Source organism: Homo sapiens, chromosome 15 (genome assembly GCF_000001405.40).
Source record: "Homo sapiens chromosome 15, GRCh38.p14 Primary Assembly".
NCBI lineage: Eukaryota > Metazoa > Chordata > Mammalia > Primates > Hominidae > Homo > Homo sapiens.
Window position 1 is genome coordinate 22,401,062 of NC_000015.10, and position 18,102 is coordinate 22,419,163.

General features: G+C 48.6%; 1 pseudogene, besides 1 other annotated feature; it reads left to right on the plus strand.

The window, feature by feature from the left end:
* SPATA31E3P (SPATA31 subfamily E member 3, pseudogene) lies at nt 1,977-5,962 on the plus strand (annotated as a pseudogene).
* Nucleotides 16,897-17,740: an enhancer, noted in NCBI's record as "H3K27ac-H3K4me1 hESC enhancer chr15:23454295-23455138 (GRCh37/hg19 assembly coordinates)". NCBI's record gives its function as "activates a minimal SCP1, AML or CMV promoter by ChIP-STARR-seq in primed H9 embryonic stem cells {active_cell/tissue: H9 hESC(primed)}" and the evidence as "EXISTENCE:reporter gene assay evidence [ECO:0000049][PMID:30033119]".

The following is an 18,102-nucleotide window of genomic DNA, read 5'->3' on the forward strand; positions in this document are numbered from 1 at the left end:
GGCTGCGCTTCAGCCTCCTCCTCCCACTGCCCCTCCCCTGCCCCCAGGAGCCCTTGGTGAGGAGGAGGCCCCAGCTCTGTGATGCAGGCCTGGGCTCCAGTCCCTAGTCCCAAAAGCGATGCCCAGGGCTCAGTTGCTTGAGGGCAACATTGCACTTCAGATGGAAAAAATGCTCTTTCCTCTGAAGAGCCCTAGTGCCACGTGGCTGGGCCCCAGCTCCACTCCCTGGATTGTGGATTTCATCCTCACCTCAGTGTGGAGCCTGGGCTTCCTCTTCCTATTAGCCCCCTACCTCCCCAGTGTCCCACCCTCACCCCCGCATGGGAGGAAGAGGAGCAGCAGGAAGGTAAGGAGCCCTCAGCCCAGCCCCACAGAGAAAGATTCTCTCTTCTTTTCCTCCCCTCATTTCCACTTTTCCTAAGTAATGAGAGACTCTCCTGCGATGGGAAATCTCATCATCCCTCTAGGGAAGGGCAGAGCAGGCAGGGGTGGGAGTGGGCAGAGGATTCCATCCTCAGCTCCCAGACTATCTGTGACATGCGCGGGAGGCATCAGGGCAAAACCCAACACTGGACTCAGTGGCGAGGACCAGATCAGGAGAGGGGTGAGGTCTCTGTGGGAGGACAGGCCCCAGCTCTGGCTCATCAGCCCCTTTCCAAGGCAGGTGCCTGGGGGTCCAGGCTCCTCTGTGTGGGGTGATCTGGGAGCTGTGCTGAACCCCTGAGAGCCTCCCGCTAGAGCCTGGATTCACGTCTGGCCTCCTCTGAAGCAGAATCCTACTGGCAGCTCAGAGGTGCCTGTAGGCCTGAGCCTGGGTATGCCTTCAGCGGAGGAGCAGGGACTGGGGATATCCAGGGTGGAGTCACACAGAAAACCCCTGCTTGCATTTCCCTAAGAAGGAAAACAGAAAACATTTCATCAATGGTAAACATGAGTAAAAGAAACGCACGCAGAGCTCCCTGAGCTACAGGCAGAAAGCCGTGTCCTTCAAGAGCACTGCGTGTGTGCAGCTGGTCTGGGAAGAGGAGACTGAGAACTGGTCCCAGCCCCTCACCCTTGCTTGCCTCTCGGCATCAAAGGAAGAGATAGGGGAGGCCCAGGAGCAGGAAGAAGATCCCAGCTCTGAATTGTGAGGCCCTACTAATCCCTGAGACTCCCCAGAGGTGACTGAGCATCGTCTGTCCCTGAGGGAATCATTTGCAGAGGCCTGAGAGGGAAGCTCCTGGGAGGGAAATCAGAACCCGGGGCCTCCTCATATTCCCTGTGGGAATGAAGCCATGGGCCCGGGAACCGGTATTGCCCATAAGGGGGCGCTGTGGGGAAGGGACCAAGGCCTGCCAGGATATGGGGGGAGGTCAGGGAGACCCCAGGTCCACGTGGACAGCTGTTCTCCTCGGCCATGGCTGACTCTTCTTAGAGACCACCCCATCCACTCTCCCCACAAGATGGTTGTGACACCCATGAGGGGTTGTACATGGAAGCACTTTTTGCAAATGACAAAGTTCTGCACAATGCACACCTTGCTGTCACCATTGGGGCCATGTGGCCTTGGACACAGATGCATGGGCTTCAGGGTCTAGTTCCCCATGGTGTCCCCTAAAGAGACATCCACCACTCAGCCTCCCATGAGGTTCGCTGGCACCGCCCTCCCCGCCATAACTCTGTCTCCTTACTTCCAGCTTGCAGAATCCTCCTGAGGGAGCTGGAGGAGACTCAGGACCTGACCAACCTTCTGGAAAGATGAGATTCCCCTTCTCTCCATGTCGTCCTTTCTACCAGGGCCTCTGAGGCAGCCCCAGGGTCCAGTGTTGACCTGGGAGGGGGAGGTCCTGGGAAGAGGCGGGAGTGGACTGAAGCCCTGGGCAGGCACAGACAGAGCTCTGTGAAGCCAGCAGTGGCGGAGGTGGAGGAGCTGTGGGCACCAGGTGCCCAGCCCTCCCGACCTCCCAACCCCACCTGCCCCTGGCTGCAGCTTGTGCCTTGTGCAGCCACCTGAGAAAGCTCACTGGGGAGGGTGGCTCCCATCTGCCCTTAGGTGGAGAGCCCTGGGTGATATGTACAAACCAGCTCCTGCTAAGGCCCACCAGCCGCATAGGAAATGCATGCAAGATCCATCTCCTGACAGCTTGTCCCCAAGGACTCCCCCAGTTCCTCTGGCCTCCAACCTGTCACCAGACACAATGACCTTCTCAGAGCCTTTTGGACCACGCTCAACCCTGAGTGCCTCCAGGCCTCCAGAGCCCTTGCTTCCCCTAAAATGCCCTGCAGTCCGGCCACATATGCTTTTCCTTCTTCACCACAGCCCCATGTTCCCGTGGCCTCCTCTCCACCTCCACCCGAACACAGCCTGGCTGGACTTCAGTGTGGCTCCACAATACGCCCTGTCCCCCAGAGCTCCCCTCTACACAACCAGGGGCCACCTTCTCCAACCAGGGTGATCTCTGGCCTTGGGTGCTCCAGCGGTCCCATCCGGGACCTCTCCCGCTGGAGGGAGGCTGCCACCACCTGGGGCCTCTCCACCTGCTCACAGGGCAAATCCCAGCAACAGCATCTTCCCAACCACCCCCCAGAGGCTTCCTTCTGGGGAGACCCCACACCCAGGCAGATGGAGGCAGGTGGCCGCACATTCTTCCATCCCAACGTGCAGAAGCTGCTGGAGACTCATCTCCAAGAGAGCAGTGATGAAGATGTGGCAGGAGAAAGAATGGGGGTGGGCAGACTACCCGCAGATGACATCACTGGGGAAGGAGTGGGACATCACGACTCTAAATCCCTTCTGGAACGTGGCAAACCTACCACAGAAGCTGCCCCATCCTCAGCAGGTCTCTGACGCCATGGCCATGTGGGACCACTTAGAGCAGAAATGCAGCCATCTCTTCTGGGATCTCCCCTCTTTCAATAGCGAGTCCCTGGTGACCATGGCCTGGGTTTCTAGGAACATTTCCTCACAGAATGAGCACTCTGTACCATCGGATAAAGCCTCCACTTCCCTTCCAGGTGAAACTGAGGTTGAGACACCCTCACAGCTTTCCCAGGCACGGCCCCAGCCCCACCACGTGGCCCAGCCCCAACCTTTCACTCCAACCTGGCCCCAGTCCCAGCCCCCGCCTCTAGCTGGGATCCAGACACAGTGGGGCAAATCTCAACCCCTGTCCCAACCTCTTCTCCACCCCAGATTAGGGTCTGTGGAGCATCTTGCCCTACATCCCAGAAGAGGGCACAGTCTGTCATCCCCACTGGAAAAAAGTATCTTGAGTGGCCCTTGCAGAAATGACCAAAGTGGAAGAGGGTTTTGCCCTCTCTCCTCAAAAAGTCTCAGGCTGTCCTGAGCCAGCCCACTTCCCACCTTCCCCAGGAGAGGCCAGCCTCCCTGAACCCTAAGTCAGCCCCCATCCTTCCCGGGATTGCCACCAGCCCTGAGCTCCCAGAGCACCGGTGGCAAGGAAGGAGTGCCATCCACCAGGAGCAGTCCCGTGGCCTCCCAGCAGATTCAAGGCACCTGGAGACCTGCTGCAGCCTAAGGGGGAATTCCCAGGGAGGCCCCAGAGTCAGGCAGAAGCCACGCAGGGGGCCCTCTTGCCCTCCCGGGATTCTGAATTTGTAGGAAAGGGCACGAAGGATGTGCAGAAAGCAGGGCTCAGGAGCTCTGGAAGGTTCTCTGGGAAGGGGTGCTTAGGGTCCAAACTAGAGCCAGAACCAGGATCAAGGCTCAGGAAGGACTTCAGTGAAGGTTCTGGAGAAAGACAAGGAGGAAGCAGAAGGTGATTTCAGGAGGCCCTGGAAGTACCAATCAGTAAGTTCTGCACCCAGGGACCCAGAAAAGCAGCATCTGGAAAACAAGCCACAGGTCCATCTGGACAGGAAGGTGGGGGAGATCAAGGAGGGCTGGATCCCTGTGTCTGTGCATCGCTCCTAATTCATGGCCAAACATGCCATTCCCAAGTCTGACACCCACAGGAAATCGAGAAAGGTGACATCCTGGAGGGGTGGGAAAGCCCACGTGAACACCTCCCAGGAGCTGTCCTTCCTCCATCCCTGCACCCAGCAGATGCTGGAAGCACATCTTTTCAAGTTCTGTGTGAGGCACAGGTGGGGTCCAGAACTTCAGTCCTTAGAGCCCATAAATGTCTAGTCAGGGGAGGCTCAGCCTCCACCCCTCCCACACTCCACCATTCTCCCCTGGGCCTCCTGGGAATCTCTGGCTGAATCTGTAGCCAAGGTTGCCATTTTGTCGGGAAAACCTCCCCAGAATGGTCCAGGAGACAATAGAACAACAAGCAAGTCAGCCCCCACCATGAGTGGCCCTGTCCCTGCCCCACCAACTGAGCAGGAGGAAGTCCAGAGGGTCCCAAGAGGGTCCCAGTCAGCTGACACCCATGAGCAATCAGAGGCCTCTCTGACTGGACAGGAGGGCAGGGCATCTTCTCAGTCCCCCATATGCAACCTTGTAGGCAGAACCTGGCAGAGAGGGACTGTCCTGGGGTCCGGGAAACCCAGACTCGAGGGGAGTGTGGGTTCAGAAATGGCTGGGAATGAGGCATGGCTTGAGACTGAGAGCATGTCCCCAGGAGACCCCTGTCATAGCAGAGCCCTGCAAGAGCTCAGCATGGGGTCCCAGTGGGCAAGGGCCAGAGATGCCCTGGAGGCACTGGAGGCCAAGGAGGAAAAGCCCCCTGATTGGAAAGTCACCTTGGGAGCCAGTGTGAGGGCAAGATCAGGAAGTGTTCAGGTGGATCTGAGGAGCACAGGGACTCTGGGGACCACTAGTAACCCCTCAGTGTCTACAATCTGTGTTGCTCAGGATCCAGGGCAGCTGTGCCTGAAAGCACAGGTTGTCAGTGAGATTGCGCTCATAGTGCAGGTGGACTCAGAGGAGCAGCTGCCAGGCCGTGTTTCCAGCATCCTCCTCCAGGAGGGCGCCACAGGCCTGTGCCTTCCAGGCCGCCATGTGGACATGCTCCCAGCCACATACAGGCCACCCACTTAGGCCCCTCTGTCCACCTCCCAGAGTGTGCTCAGTAGGAGGAACACGACAGCTTCCCAGGGGCCATGTGCCCTCCTATGGAAGGGAGGGGACAGACTGGGGCAGCAGGAACCTGGGAGCCCAAAAGTGAAGGCCCCACAGAAGAGTCAGAAGATGCTGGGCTCTTTGGACAAGGGCAAGGCCCACAGGAGGCCCAGACCAGGGGAGCAGGGACACAGGTCCAAAGGACCCAGGACCTCCCAAGCCAGTGGGAGGAGCCACCCTGCCCACACGAGGGAAATAGGAGACAAACAAGAAAGGAAATACAATCAGCCTCAGCCAGAGAAGGGACAGGCACCACCAGAAAGCAACTTCCAGAGAAAGATCAGTCACCGTCCACAGGGTCTACATCCCAGGAAGAGGGGCTCAGGGCAGGAAGACGTCCTGCAGAAAGGCAAGCCTGGGCAGATGCTGTCCAGAGCTGGGGGTCTGGCCCAGCAAGGTTGTTTATGGACAGCATGGCTGATGAAGCCCAGACCATCATCAGAGTTATGGGGCAAATCCTGGTGGACAAACTGGGGATTCAGCAGGGACGTGGTCCCTCAGAGGTCAGTCGCCACAAAGGCGACCTCCACGCCCAGGAGAATGTGCCTTCCTGCTGCCACAGGAGTCACTACTACCAGGAACATAGCAGAGAGATGGGGCTGGTCTGCAGCCCCAAAGCCACCCCCAAGGGCCACAAATGTCCTGTCAAAAACAAGGGCATCAGAGACAGAGACAGCAGTTGGGCCCCCACCTCCCAGGGAGCTTGTGTCCCCAGCTGGTCCCCACCACCACAGGCCATGAGTGGCAAGCACCTCGGGCAGCCCCATCCACAGCTGCAGGAACTGAGGTCTACACAGAGGTGTCTTGCCTCCTGAACCAGACCAGGCTTCCCACACCTCTCCTGGAGGAGACAGGGGGTTCTATCCAAATAACACTGGACGCCTACACAACAAACCTGTCCTGCGTGGGTGACAACAGTCCCCATGTGTTCCTGACTTCCACGGAGAAGTTCCCAATATACCTGTTTTCCCTGCAGAGGTGGTGGCTTCTGTCTGTTCCATGCTAGGCTGCAGGCAAGGGCTCAGTGTCAGCTCCTCCTGAGTGCGGCTTCCAGAATGGCTGGGCCTAGAGGAAGCTGACAGGGACCTGGAGGACCCCCTTTTCTCCCTGTCCCCACACTGTGTCTGGTTTCCAAACTGGATCATGACCCAGAGCCTTCAGGATATGTAAGGACAGCAAACTTACGGAGATCCCACCCGGGCTCTGGCTCACTGCATTCCCTGTTCTAAGGCGACTTCTGTGCTGCTGTAGGGGATGGGTCTACAGGGGCGTCACGGACTGGGGGGTGGTAGGCTCCCCTCAGGCTGGAGGAGTGATGGATCCCAGCAGCCTCCCTGCCTCACAGTAGCCTGGGAATGTAGGGGGTGTCTTGTGCTGGCCCTGGGTCAGAGGGGGGACTGCTCTTTCTGGGATCTCCTGGTGGGGAAGAGATGACACCCTCCCCAGACCCTTTCCTGACTGCTGAGTTCCGGATCTGGGATGGACCTGGGCCCCTCCAGCACTTGGCTCAGGCTTGATAACACCCCTGGGTTCATGTCTGGTGTCCCCTGCCTCACTCTCCAGGGCAGTCTCCCAGCCCACTAGTGTGGGGTGTCTGTTTCAGGAGGCACCTAGGGCTGCTGCCTGCCCCTCTGGCAGGACTCTGTGGTCAGGAATCACAGGAGGAGACCTTGGGGCCCAGGGTGAGAGGTGGGAGAAGAATCAGGGAAGACGAGCATAAGTTTGCAAGTGCAGGATCCACAAGCTGCCCACAGCTGTAACCAGGGTCCTTGCAGTCTGGTGACCATTACAAGCAAAAGTGGTCAGTGCCACTGCCAGGGGAGGGGGACCCAGAAGGCAAGGGCTGGCCTGGGTTACAAAGCACATCTATGGTTCCAGGCCCAGGTGCTGGCAAGGGACACATTGGGGCTCAGAGAATCTGGTCACATGGTTGGCAGGGACAGTCCCCACAGGGCCCAGTCCTGCACTCCCTTCGTCCTGGTACTGGGTCCTTCCTGGCCATCCCCAGGGAAGGCAGGAGCAAGGGCAGGGCAGGCAGGAGCCAGTTCCTCAGAGGGCTCTGCCCAGGGGCCTTCTGCCCAGGGAGAGCTCTGCACCTGCAGGGGCTGCAGAGGCTGAGGACAAGGTGTCAGGTCTGTACCCAGGCCTGGCGGGACCCACACCGGGGACCTGTTTCGAACACGCCCTGGTGTCACTTTGGGTGTCCAGGCTACTGTTGGAGCCAAGTCCTGTCTGGGGTGGTGACCTGGGCAGCTCCAGTGTGGGCCCAACATCTATGGGACCCAGGATCCTGTGACCTGCAGCAGAGGAACCCCACAGGGACCCCCGGTAGACCCCAACACGCAAAGATTCCCACAAAGACCCCACATTCATTGAGATTTCAGAGATTCCCCACAGTGACCCCCAGAGACCCCAACACTGAGACCCCCCCCCATGAAGACCCCCCAGAGGGACCCCCCCACAGAAACCTCTGACAGAGACGCACACGGAGACCCTTCAAAACCAACACAGAGATCCCCACAGAGACACTCACAGTGACTCTAACAGAGACCTGCACAGAGAAAAGATATCAAGGTCACTTTGCCACCCGCTAAAATCCCTAGCACTGCACTTGGTGAAAATGAGCAGCATCTTCCTCATTACCAGCAGCGGCTTTCTCCTGGCGGCCCTCTGCCCTCTTCTAGATAAGATTCCTTGAGATATGAGATGCCGAACAATAGAAAAGCCTCCTCTATCAGACAGCGTCCAACTTAGAGCGACCCCCCGACCCGCTGACAGACCCTTCCCAAGATCACCCAATCACAACTCCCATGCTGATGTCAAACTGTAAGTGTTCATGATAGAAACGGTGAGAGTTCCTCTGATGCCGTCCTTCGGAGACCGCGCTCAGCTCCTCAGGCCATGCTCCCCCTCAATGCCAAGGGAATCCACCCGGCTGGTCTAGGTTGGCCTTGCTCACAGGGCTCCTCCTGCAGGCCTTGTGCTGGAGCACATGGAGCGGGAAGGATCTCGGCTTGGACACAGCTTCCTCAGAAAACCTTGTCCGACTCCCCTGTGAGGGCAGGCCCCCTGTGCTGGGTTCCCCACCCTGGCCCTTCCTCCCTTGTGACAATCTCTGCATGCCTGGGTATGTTTCTCCTAGAACCCTGAAATCTTCTGGTGGGCCCAATGAGGAGGGAGGCGTGCCTCACCACCTGACCACACTCCCGGTACTGACTGTGGCCCCTGTTAAAAATTGTTTCATAAAATCTTCTTAGTTAATGGGCACAGGAAGTAAAGCTTCCTAATCTACCTCATATATAAGTTGCATCACTAAAATCATATTTTCATAAAGGGTATTAGCTCTTTCCAGTAGCCAATATAATGTTTCAAGGAAAATTTGTAAAAATAAATGTGGCATTGATACTTCAAATTTAGTGGTATAAAGAAATTTCCAAATTCAAATTATTCCATCTAAGTTACTTATTTTATAGATCAAATATGAATATTCTTGTAAGTTTTGAAATACTTCAGAGTAAAATTCTGAAGTTTAGATAATACAAATTAAAAAGCAATTTTTCTTAAAAACATTCTAATGTGCCACAAATTTATTTTTAAAAACTCTTACCAAAGAAGATGTATTTTTAAGTAATTTAAATATACAACTTGCATCAGACACATATATTGTAAATACACCCTTCCAAAAATGAGGAGCAGCTATGTGTTTACTTTAACATCTAAGATGCTGAAATATCTATATAACAGGTCACGTACTTAAAGCCACATGTAAAACAGGGGATTGAGAAATAATTCAGCATGCATATTTGTTCTGTTTGAAATTTTTTTAATTATTGAAAATAATTGAAAATCTTACAAAACATCATCTGTTTGAAAGATGTTAGAAAAGAGAGGGTAGAAAAATAGGACTGCATTCTTATTGCCTAACAGTTTAACCTCAGTTATAAATACACACATATTACACATATCTATGTGTGTATATGTGCATAGGTCTGTATACACATACAGACATGGGTGTGTTGTAACATCATTTGGTTAGTATCACTTGTCCTATTTTTTTTCTTGAATACTCCGTTTTTATTATTCTACAGAGAAGGGCACAACGCAATTGGTCTCTAGACTTGCCCAAGTAACTTTCTCTCTCCAGCAGTTTCTGTCAGTTCTTGGGTTTGGAAATTTCCTTCCTGCTCACCTCCACTGGCAGCGTGTTCACCTCACGTTAGGCCCTCTGGTTCAATGCTCCAAAAGTGTGATGAGCATAAAGAGAATTTTCCTCTCAGGAAAACAATAATGGCTGGATCACTGATACACTATGGGTTCATAAAGAAAGGTGAGTCTATTTGATTTGTCTATTAACCTGGAAGAGCACATTGAACATTTTTTCTTTTTTAGAATAAGTACACGTACACATTGATCTTTTACTGAAAATAAAAAAAAATTAAAAGATACATGTAAATAAGAACAAAGGACTTTTATCTAGCCCTAGATCCCAATAACTTCTTTAGAACTCTTTTCCTAAAAGGTTTATAGTACAACCTTTTATATTTAAGTTTGCAAACCATTTCTAGTTAATTAGTGTATAAAGTGCAAGGTTTACACTGAGATTTTGAGCCTGTGTTTATTTTCTCCAGTAACATTTGTTAAAAAGACTATTCTTTCTCTTTCAATTACTTTTGTACCATTGTCAAAAATGAGAAATGAGTTGGGCATATTTACTTGTGTCAATTTCTGAGTTCTTCATTCTGTTCTGCTGACCTATGTGTCCATCTCTCCACCAGTATCATGTGCCTTTTCATATAAACTTAAAATAGGTTTATCTATATGCATAAAAATATGTAGCTGGTGTTTTGATATGACTGTCATTAAGTCTACCCATCAATTTGAAGAGAGTTGACATATTTGCTATCGTGAGTCTTCCAAACCATTAATAAGGTATGTTTGAATTTTAGTTCTTCTCTCAATTCATGCACATTTTGTAATTTTTGCCATCTTGATTCTGCATGTCTTGTCAGATTTATGCCTAAGTATTTTCTTTAGAGCAATTGTAAAGGTATATTCAGTTTCCACACATTCATTTTTAGTTCATAGAAATATGATGAATTTTGGAGGATGGATCATTTATCCTGTGAACTTGCTAAATATTATTTCTACAAGACTTTTTTTAGTTTCTCTGAGACTTTACAAAGACAATCGTGTAATCTGCAATAGAGGCCACTTTCCTTCTTTCTCTTTTTTTTCAATCAGTATGCCTTGTTTCTTGCCCAATTGTGCCGACTAGAACTTTCGGTGCTCTGTCAAATAGCATTGTTGAGAGCAGGTGTCTCTGCCTTGTTTCCACCCTGAGGGGAAAACCATTCATTCTTTCATCATTAAGCATGACATAGCTGTTTGTTTTTGATAAATACTCTTGATAAAGTTCAGGAAGTTTCCTTGTATTTCTAGGTTTCTGAAAGTTTTTATCATAAAACTGTGCTATATTTTGGCAAATGCTCTTTCTGCATCAATTGAGATAAGTAACGTACGTATTTTTGTATCGTGTTTCCGTGTTCAGGTTGATATTCCTTGTGTTTTAATTGACACATGTACACAATTTATATTTAAGATAACTGTAGGCCGGGCGCAGTGGCTCAGGCCTGTAATCCCAGCACTTTGGGAGGCTGAGGCAGGTGGATCACGAGGTCAGGAGATCGAGACCATCCTGGCTAACACGGTGAAACCCCGTCTCTACTAAAAATACAAAAACATTAGCCGGGTGTGGTGGCGGGCGCCTGTGGTCCCAGATACTCGGGACACTGAGGCAGGAGAATGGCGTGAACCCGGGAGGTGGAACTTGCAGTGAGCTGAGATCGCGCCACTGCACTCCAGGCTGGGCGACAGAGCGAGACTCCGTCTCAAAAAAAAAAAAAAAAAAAATGGAAATACCAGAATGCCACCTTCTTTTGCAATGTGGGAGACAGAAGATTTATCTCCCTTCTTGGCCCCACTGACACCATCCGGCAAGGGAATCAGAGCACTGCTGATTCCTTCCACTCTGTGTAAGTGAAGTGGATCATCAGCTCCACACTTGATTTCACTGAACTATGGTGTTCGCAGAGGGGGTTTCCATTGATGTTTGGCTACACTCAGGTGGGTATTCCTTGCTAGGCCATTATTTTCCAGGTTCTTTGGCTGAGACAGCTGGGGTTTTATTAGGTTTGGTTTTGTTGGGTGTGGTTTCTGGTTGGAGGCTTCTGCAGCACTCTCTCCAGGGCAGATGAGAAGAACAGGAGACCCAAGGAACATACCACTGTGTCATTCCCCAGGGAGTCTGTCTTCCTTATTATATTTTTCCAACACTTCCCATGCTCCTTTGTTGTTTTACGTGCAGACTTTCATTTAGAACACAAAGGATGTGATAGTAATGAGGCTTCTCCAACTGGGCTGAAAACACATGTGTTTTTGTCTTAAAATCATAAGTATTTTAAAATATACTTGAATAGGTTGGTGAGAATCCTGGGGAGAATTAACACATGATTGGGAAAAAAAAAGAAACATTCTCAACACTACAAGAAAAAGTCATTTCATAACAGTAAAAACTCTAGCTCACATTATCTGCAACTTACTTACTTATTTTTTCTAGCCTGGTGTCAAAATTATCATTTGCCCCTGTGATAAACAAAATTACCAACCAAAGTGGAGTGTTTCTATGCAGCTTGTTTGGTCTTAACCTTAGAGTATCCAATCAAAATACCATTTTCCAAAGTGTCTTTGATCAGTTTCTTTTTCCTCTTGGAATCCTCTGACTTCCTGGTGGATTTTTTTATTATTATTTTTATTTTGCAAAAAATAAGAAAGAGGTTTTGTAGTGTAGCATTTGGTAGGGTTTGAGAAACCATAGAGACACGTGTCCACCCTCCAGCACTGCACAGAACAGCCGCATCACCCTAAAATTCTGTGTGTGATGCCTTTGTGATCAACCCTTCCCTTTCTCCCAATTGTGGGCAAACTCTGATCTGTTTTCTTGACCTATAATTTTGCCTTCTCCGGAATGTTATACGAATGAAATCATACAATATGTAGACATTTGGGGCTGACTTCTTTCACACAGCAAAACACATGTAAGTTCATCTGTACTGTTGTGTAAGTGAATAGTCTGTTCCTTTGTATTGCTGAATAGCAGTTGATGGTATTGATGCAATAGTCTATCTGTTCACCTGTTGTAAGATGTGTTGGTTAGGCTGGGTGTGGTGGCTCATGCCTATAATCCCAGCACTTTGGGAGGCCAAGGCGGGCAGATCATGAGGTCAGGAGTTCGAGACCAGCCTGGCCAACATAGTGAAACCCTGTCTCTATTAAAAATACAAAAAATTAGCCAGGCATGGTGGTGGGTGCCTGTATTCCCAGCTACTTGGGAAGCTGAGGCAGAAGAATTCCTTGAACCTGGGAGGCGGAGGTTGCAGTGAGCCAAGATCGTGACATTGCACTCCAGCCTGGGTGACAGTGCGAGACTCCGTCTCAAAAAAGAAAAAAAAAAAAAGAAAGATGTCTTGGTTGTTTCCAGGTTTTGGAGATTATAAGTAAAGCTGCTAAAACATTTGCCTAGACTACGGGCTTTTATGTGAATTTGTTTTCATTACACATTGATAAATATATAGGAGTGGAATGGCTGAACCTCACACTGGACATATGTTTTACTTTATAAAAAGCTGCCAAATTATCTCCTAAAGTGACCATGTCATTTTACATTCCCAACAGTAATGAAAGAGAATCTTTGTTGCTACACATCTTCAGGAGCACTTGATATTTTAATTTTTTATTTCTATTCTAATGGCATGTAGTAGTATCCCATTGTAGTTATGTTTTGCATTCCCTTATTAATAACAATAACCATGTTTTCATATGCTTATTTGCCATATGTCTGTCTTCTTTTGAGATGTACGTGCTCAAGATTTTTGCTTGTTTTAAATTGGATTGTTTGTTTTGTATTGTTGAGTTTTAAGGGTTCTTTATTCATTTTGGATAAAAGCTTGTATAAGATACGTGACTGATATGGTCTGACTGTGTCCCCACCCAAATCTCATTTTGAATTGTAGTTCTCATAATCCCTATGTGTTGTGGGAGGGACCTGGCAGAAGGTAGTAGAATCATGGAGGCAGGTTACCCCCATGCTGCTGTTCTCAGATAGTGAGTGAGTTCTCATAAAATCTGATGGTTTTATATAGGGCTTTTCTTCCTTTGCTAAGCACTTCTCTCTCCTGCCACCATGTGAAGAACAACATGTTTGTTTGCCTTCTGCCATGATTGTAAGTTTCCTGAGGCTTTGCCAGCCTCATGGAACTGTGAGTCAATTAAACCTCTTTCCTGGTAAATTACCCAGCCTCAAGCAGTTCTTTATAGCAGCAGCAGAACAGACTAATACAGTGACTTAATATTTTTCCCTGATTGTTTTAGCTTTTTGCTCTTGTAATGGTTCTTTCACAGAATGAGCATTTTTAGATATAACAAAGTCTGCTTTTTCATTTTTTCTTTTATGGATCATGTGTATGGTGTTTTATCTAAAAACTCATCAATGACCCCAAAGTCATACCTAATTTCCCCTGTTTTATGATAGTATTTTATTGCTGTATACTTTACACTTTTATATGGTCTATTTCAGTCCACTTTTGTAAAAGGTGTAAAATACGCATTAAGTTTCGTTTTTTTTTTACATGGGGAGATCCCATTATTACATCCCCATTTACAGAATAGATTATACTTTCCCCTTTTCCTCTGCATCTTTTTCAAAATGCAGTTGAATATATTTGTGTGGGTCTATTTCTGGGGTCTGTATTCATTCCATTGGTCTACGTATCTAGTGTTTTAACAATATTTTAACAAAACCACAATATTTTGAGAACTGTAGCATAATAGTAAGCCTTGTAATCAGTAGTTTATGTCCTCTAACTTTTTTTCAGAAGTGTTTTGACAATTCTAGTTATTTTGTTTTCCATGTAAATTTTAGAATCTCCTTGGTGATATCTACAAAAAAAAAAAAACTTACAGGAATTTTCATTGTTAATGAAGGAACTCTACAAGCAGAAATGGAAAAGACTGGCATCTTAACTATATTGAGACTCTGAATTCATAAATATTTCATTCCCCTCTTTTTAAATTTTCTATTTATTGCATTTATATTTTGTAGTTTTCAGCATACAGATCCTGCACTTCTATTGTTACATTAATACCTAAGCACTTAATTTTTGCTTCTATTTTAAATAGTAATTTAATTTTTTCAACTGTTAATTACTCACACATAGGAAAATTATTGACATTCTATATTGACCTTTGATAATAAAACACTTAATTTCACGTATTTATTTTAGAAGCTTTTCATAAATACTGTAGACTGTGTATATAAAGATTAGTTTTATCAGCAAATAGAGGCAGTTTTACTTCTTCCTTTGCAATATGTATGTTATTTATTTCTTATTCCTGTCTTATTGCACTTTGCAAATTTTCTAATACAATATCGAATAGGACCTGTCCCCAGTCTTAAGGAAAAATCATTCAGTCATCACCATATAGTATACAGATATAAACATATATCCTAAGTTCTTTTATTCCTAATTTTATGAGTTTTGGTCAGAAATAGATGTTGGATTTCATCGAATGCTCTTCCTGCATCTCTTGAGAAGAATATTTTAAAAATATTCTATAGCAGATTACTTGGATTGGATTTTAATAGTGAATCAGCCTTGTTTTTATTGGACATAATGAATCATCCTACATGGGGAGATGTTCAATTTGATGTCACAATATTTTGTTGATATTTTTTCATATATGTCCATGACTGATATTTGTCTATAGTCTTCTTTTCTCTCCATATCATTTTTTGGTTTTGGTGTTATTGTAATGCTGGCCTTATAAAATGAGTTGGGAGTGCTCCCATCTCATCTATTTTCTCTAAAAGATTGTGTACAGTCAAAATTATTTATCCTTCAAATATTTGATAGAAATCAGTAGTGAAAGAACATGTGACTAGATTTTTTGGTAGGTTTTATTTACAAATGCAATTTCTTAATTAATACAGGACTATTTGTTACCTGTTTCTTCTTCAGTGAGACTTGGTAGTATGTGTTGTGTCTCTAGAGGAATTTATTTTTTTCATCTCATCTATTAGATTTGTGTGCATAAAATTATTTTTAGCTTTACTTATTTATGGTATAGTGTGTATTGATAGCTTGTCTTTCAGTCCTGCTGTTAGTAATCTGTAGTCTCTCTTCTCTTTCCCTTTTTCTCTCTTTGGTTTTGAATTTCACTTATTTCTGCCCTAATTGTTATTAGCTCCTTTCTTTAGTTCCTTAGATTTAAGTTGTTGTTCTTTCTCTACGTTCCTAAAGAAGAATCTTAGGCTACTGAGGTGAGATTACTCTTTTCAAAGAACCAACTTTTAGCTACGTTTATTTCTTCTACTGCTTTCCAACCTTCTATTTTATTGATTTATGCTCTAATCTTTATTATTTCTTTACTTCTGCTAGCTTCAGATTTAGTTTTCTCTGGTTTTTATACTGCCTTTTAGGTGTAGAGTGAGGTTACTGATTTGAGCTTTTTTTAAATGTAGTTGTTTATGTCCATACATTTTCCTTCAAACTCTACTTTCACTGCAGTCACTAAGTTTTGGTATGTTTTGTTTTTATTTGTCTTAAGATACTTTATAATTTCACTTATGATTTATTCTTTCACTGGTAGTTTAAGAGTGTAGTGTTTAATTTCTACATATTTGTGAATTTTTCAGGTTTCATTTTTTATTTATGTTTCCTCCATTGTGGTTGTAAATTATATTTTGTATGATTTAAAACTTTTGTAAATGATTAGGACATATTTTTGTGGACGAAGATATGACCTATCCTAGAGAAAGTTCCATATCCACTTAAAAGGAATGTATATTCTGCTGTTTTGGGGTGGACTGTTCTGTATATGTGTATTAGCTCTAAATGGCTTATACTGTTGTTCAAGTCTTCTATTTCTCATGAAGCTTCTGTCTGGTTTTTCTATCCATTAATTAAAATGAGGTATTGAAGTGTCCAACTACTATTATAGAACTGTGTGCTTATCCTTTCAATCCTGTTCATTTTTTTTCAGCTTTACTGAGGTATATTTGAGAAATAAATATTGTACATATTCAAAGTTTACAATGTGATGTTTCTATCTACATGCGCATTTTGAAATGATTACCAAAATGAAGTCAATTAACATATTAATTACCTCGCATAATAGTTACCTTTTTTGTGTGCATGCATGGGATAAGAATACTTAACCATAACCCTGCAGAGTGGCCATTCCAGCTGCTCCAGGCTCCTGCAGAGGAGGAGCGGGGCGGGTGGCACCACCAGGGGGGCCCTCAGGCCTGGCGCGCACGCATTTCGGAGGCTGCCCAGGCCAAGGTGCAGCTGCCCTCTGCCCTGTGTGTGCAGGTAGCAGCCGCCTGTCAACTCCCGAGCCCGGTCGCGCTGCCAGCGTCGCAGAACCGGGGTCAGATGTCCCGGCGGCTGCACAGGAGTGAGAACTGAGAACCTGCCGCTCAAAGCCATCACAGGTGACTGCGGAGTCCCCATGCCAGCAGCTCCTGTCTCCCTGTGGTGGAAGAGCCGGGCGGGATGCGCGGCTTGGGGCTTCTCAGCCTGGGCGCCCTGGCGATCCGCAGGCCTCCCGGGCCAGGCCCCTCCAGCCCGCCTGGGCACCCAAGCTGCAGCCACCCTCTGTGTGCAGGCAGCAGCCTCTGGGGAACCTCTAAGCCCGCCTGCACTCGTAACATCTCAGAACCGGGGACAGATGTCCCGGTGGCTAGAGCCAAGCCAGATGGTCTGCCCGATGGCGGCTACACAGGGGCGAGAACCTGCCACTTAATCCCATCCCCGGTGGCTGCGGAGGGCCCCTGGCCAGCGGTCCTGAGCTCTGGCAGAGGCGGGGGCAGGGCCTGGCGGGCTCTCAGGCTCGGTGTACTCGCGATCCAGAGGCCGCCCAGGCCATGTTCCACTGCCTGGACACCCAAGCTGTAGCCGCCCTCCGCCTGCAAGCAGTAGCTGCCTGGCAACTCCCAAGCTCGCTCGCGCTCCCAGCATCGCAGAACCAGGGCCAAATGTCACCGTGGCTGCGGCCAAGCCAGGCGGTCTGCCCGGCGGCGGCTGCAGAGGGGCGAGAACTGAGAACCTGCCGCTCAACCCCATCTCTGTAGGCTGCGGAGTGGGGTCCGGACTCCCTCGGACGGCCTGGCCAGCAGTTCTGAGGTCCGGCAGAGGAGGAGGGCAGGAGGCACGGCGAAGGGTACGGACTCTCAGGCCGCGCGCGCTCGCAATCCCAAGACTGCCCAGGCCATGCCCCGCTAGCCCTGGGCGCCCAAGCTGCAGCTGCTTTTTTGTTTGTTTTTCTTTTTGCAGGCAGCAGCTGCCAGGCAACCTCCAAGCCCGCCAGCACCCCCAGCCTCGCAGAACTCGGGCCAGTGTCGCCGTGGCTGCAGCCAAGCCCGGCGGTCGGCCTGGCGGCGGCTGCACTAAAAACAAAAACTGGCCTCAGCCCCATCCCCGGTGGCTGCGGAGGGCCCCTGCCAGCGGCCCTATCTTTCTTCAAAGGAGGAGCAGGGCGGCCAGAGCGGCCGGGAGGGCTGCGCGCCTGCGATCCTACGGCGTCCCAGGGGAGCCCAAGAGAACCGGTGAGCCAGCGGCGCCTGCGCCCAAGCTGTAGCCGCCCCTTGCGGACCGCGCCACTTGGGAGAGGCTTCCGGAGTCCCCGCGGGCGCTGAGCTGCAAGCGTGCGCCTACAGGCTTCGCTTGGCTTACTCGGTCTGAGAGGTCGGAGGCTGCCAGTGTCGCTGCTGAAGGCTGTTAAAACCAGCTACACAACCATCTGAAAGCCATTTTCCTCCCTCTGGTTAAAAACAGTCATATGTCGCTGGGCGCGGTGGCTCACGCCTGTAATCCCAGCACTCTGGGAGGCCGAGGCAGGCGGATCACGAGGTCAGGAGATCCAGACCATCCTGGCTAATACGGTGAAACTCCGTCTCTGCTAAAAAATACAAAAAA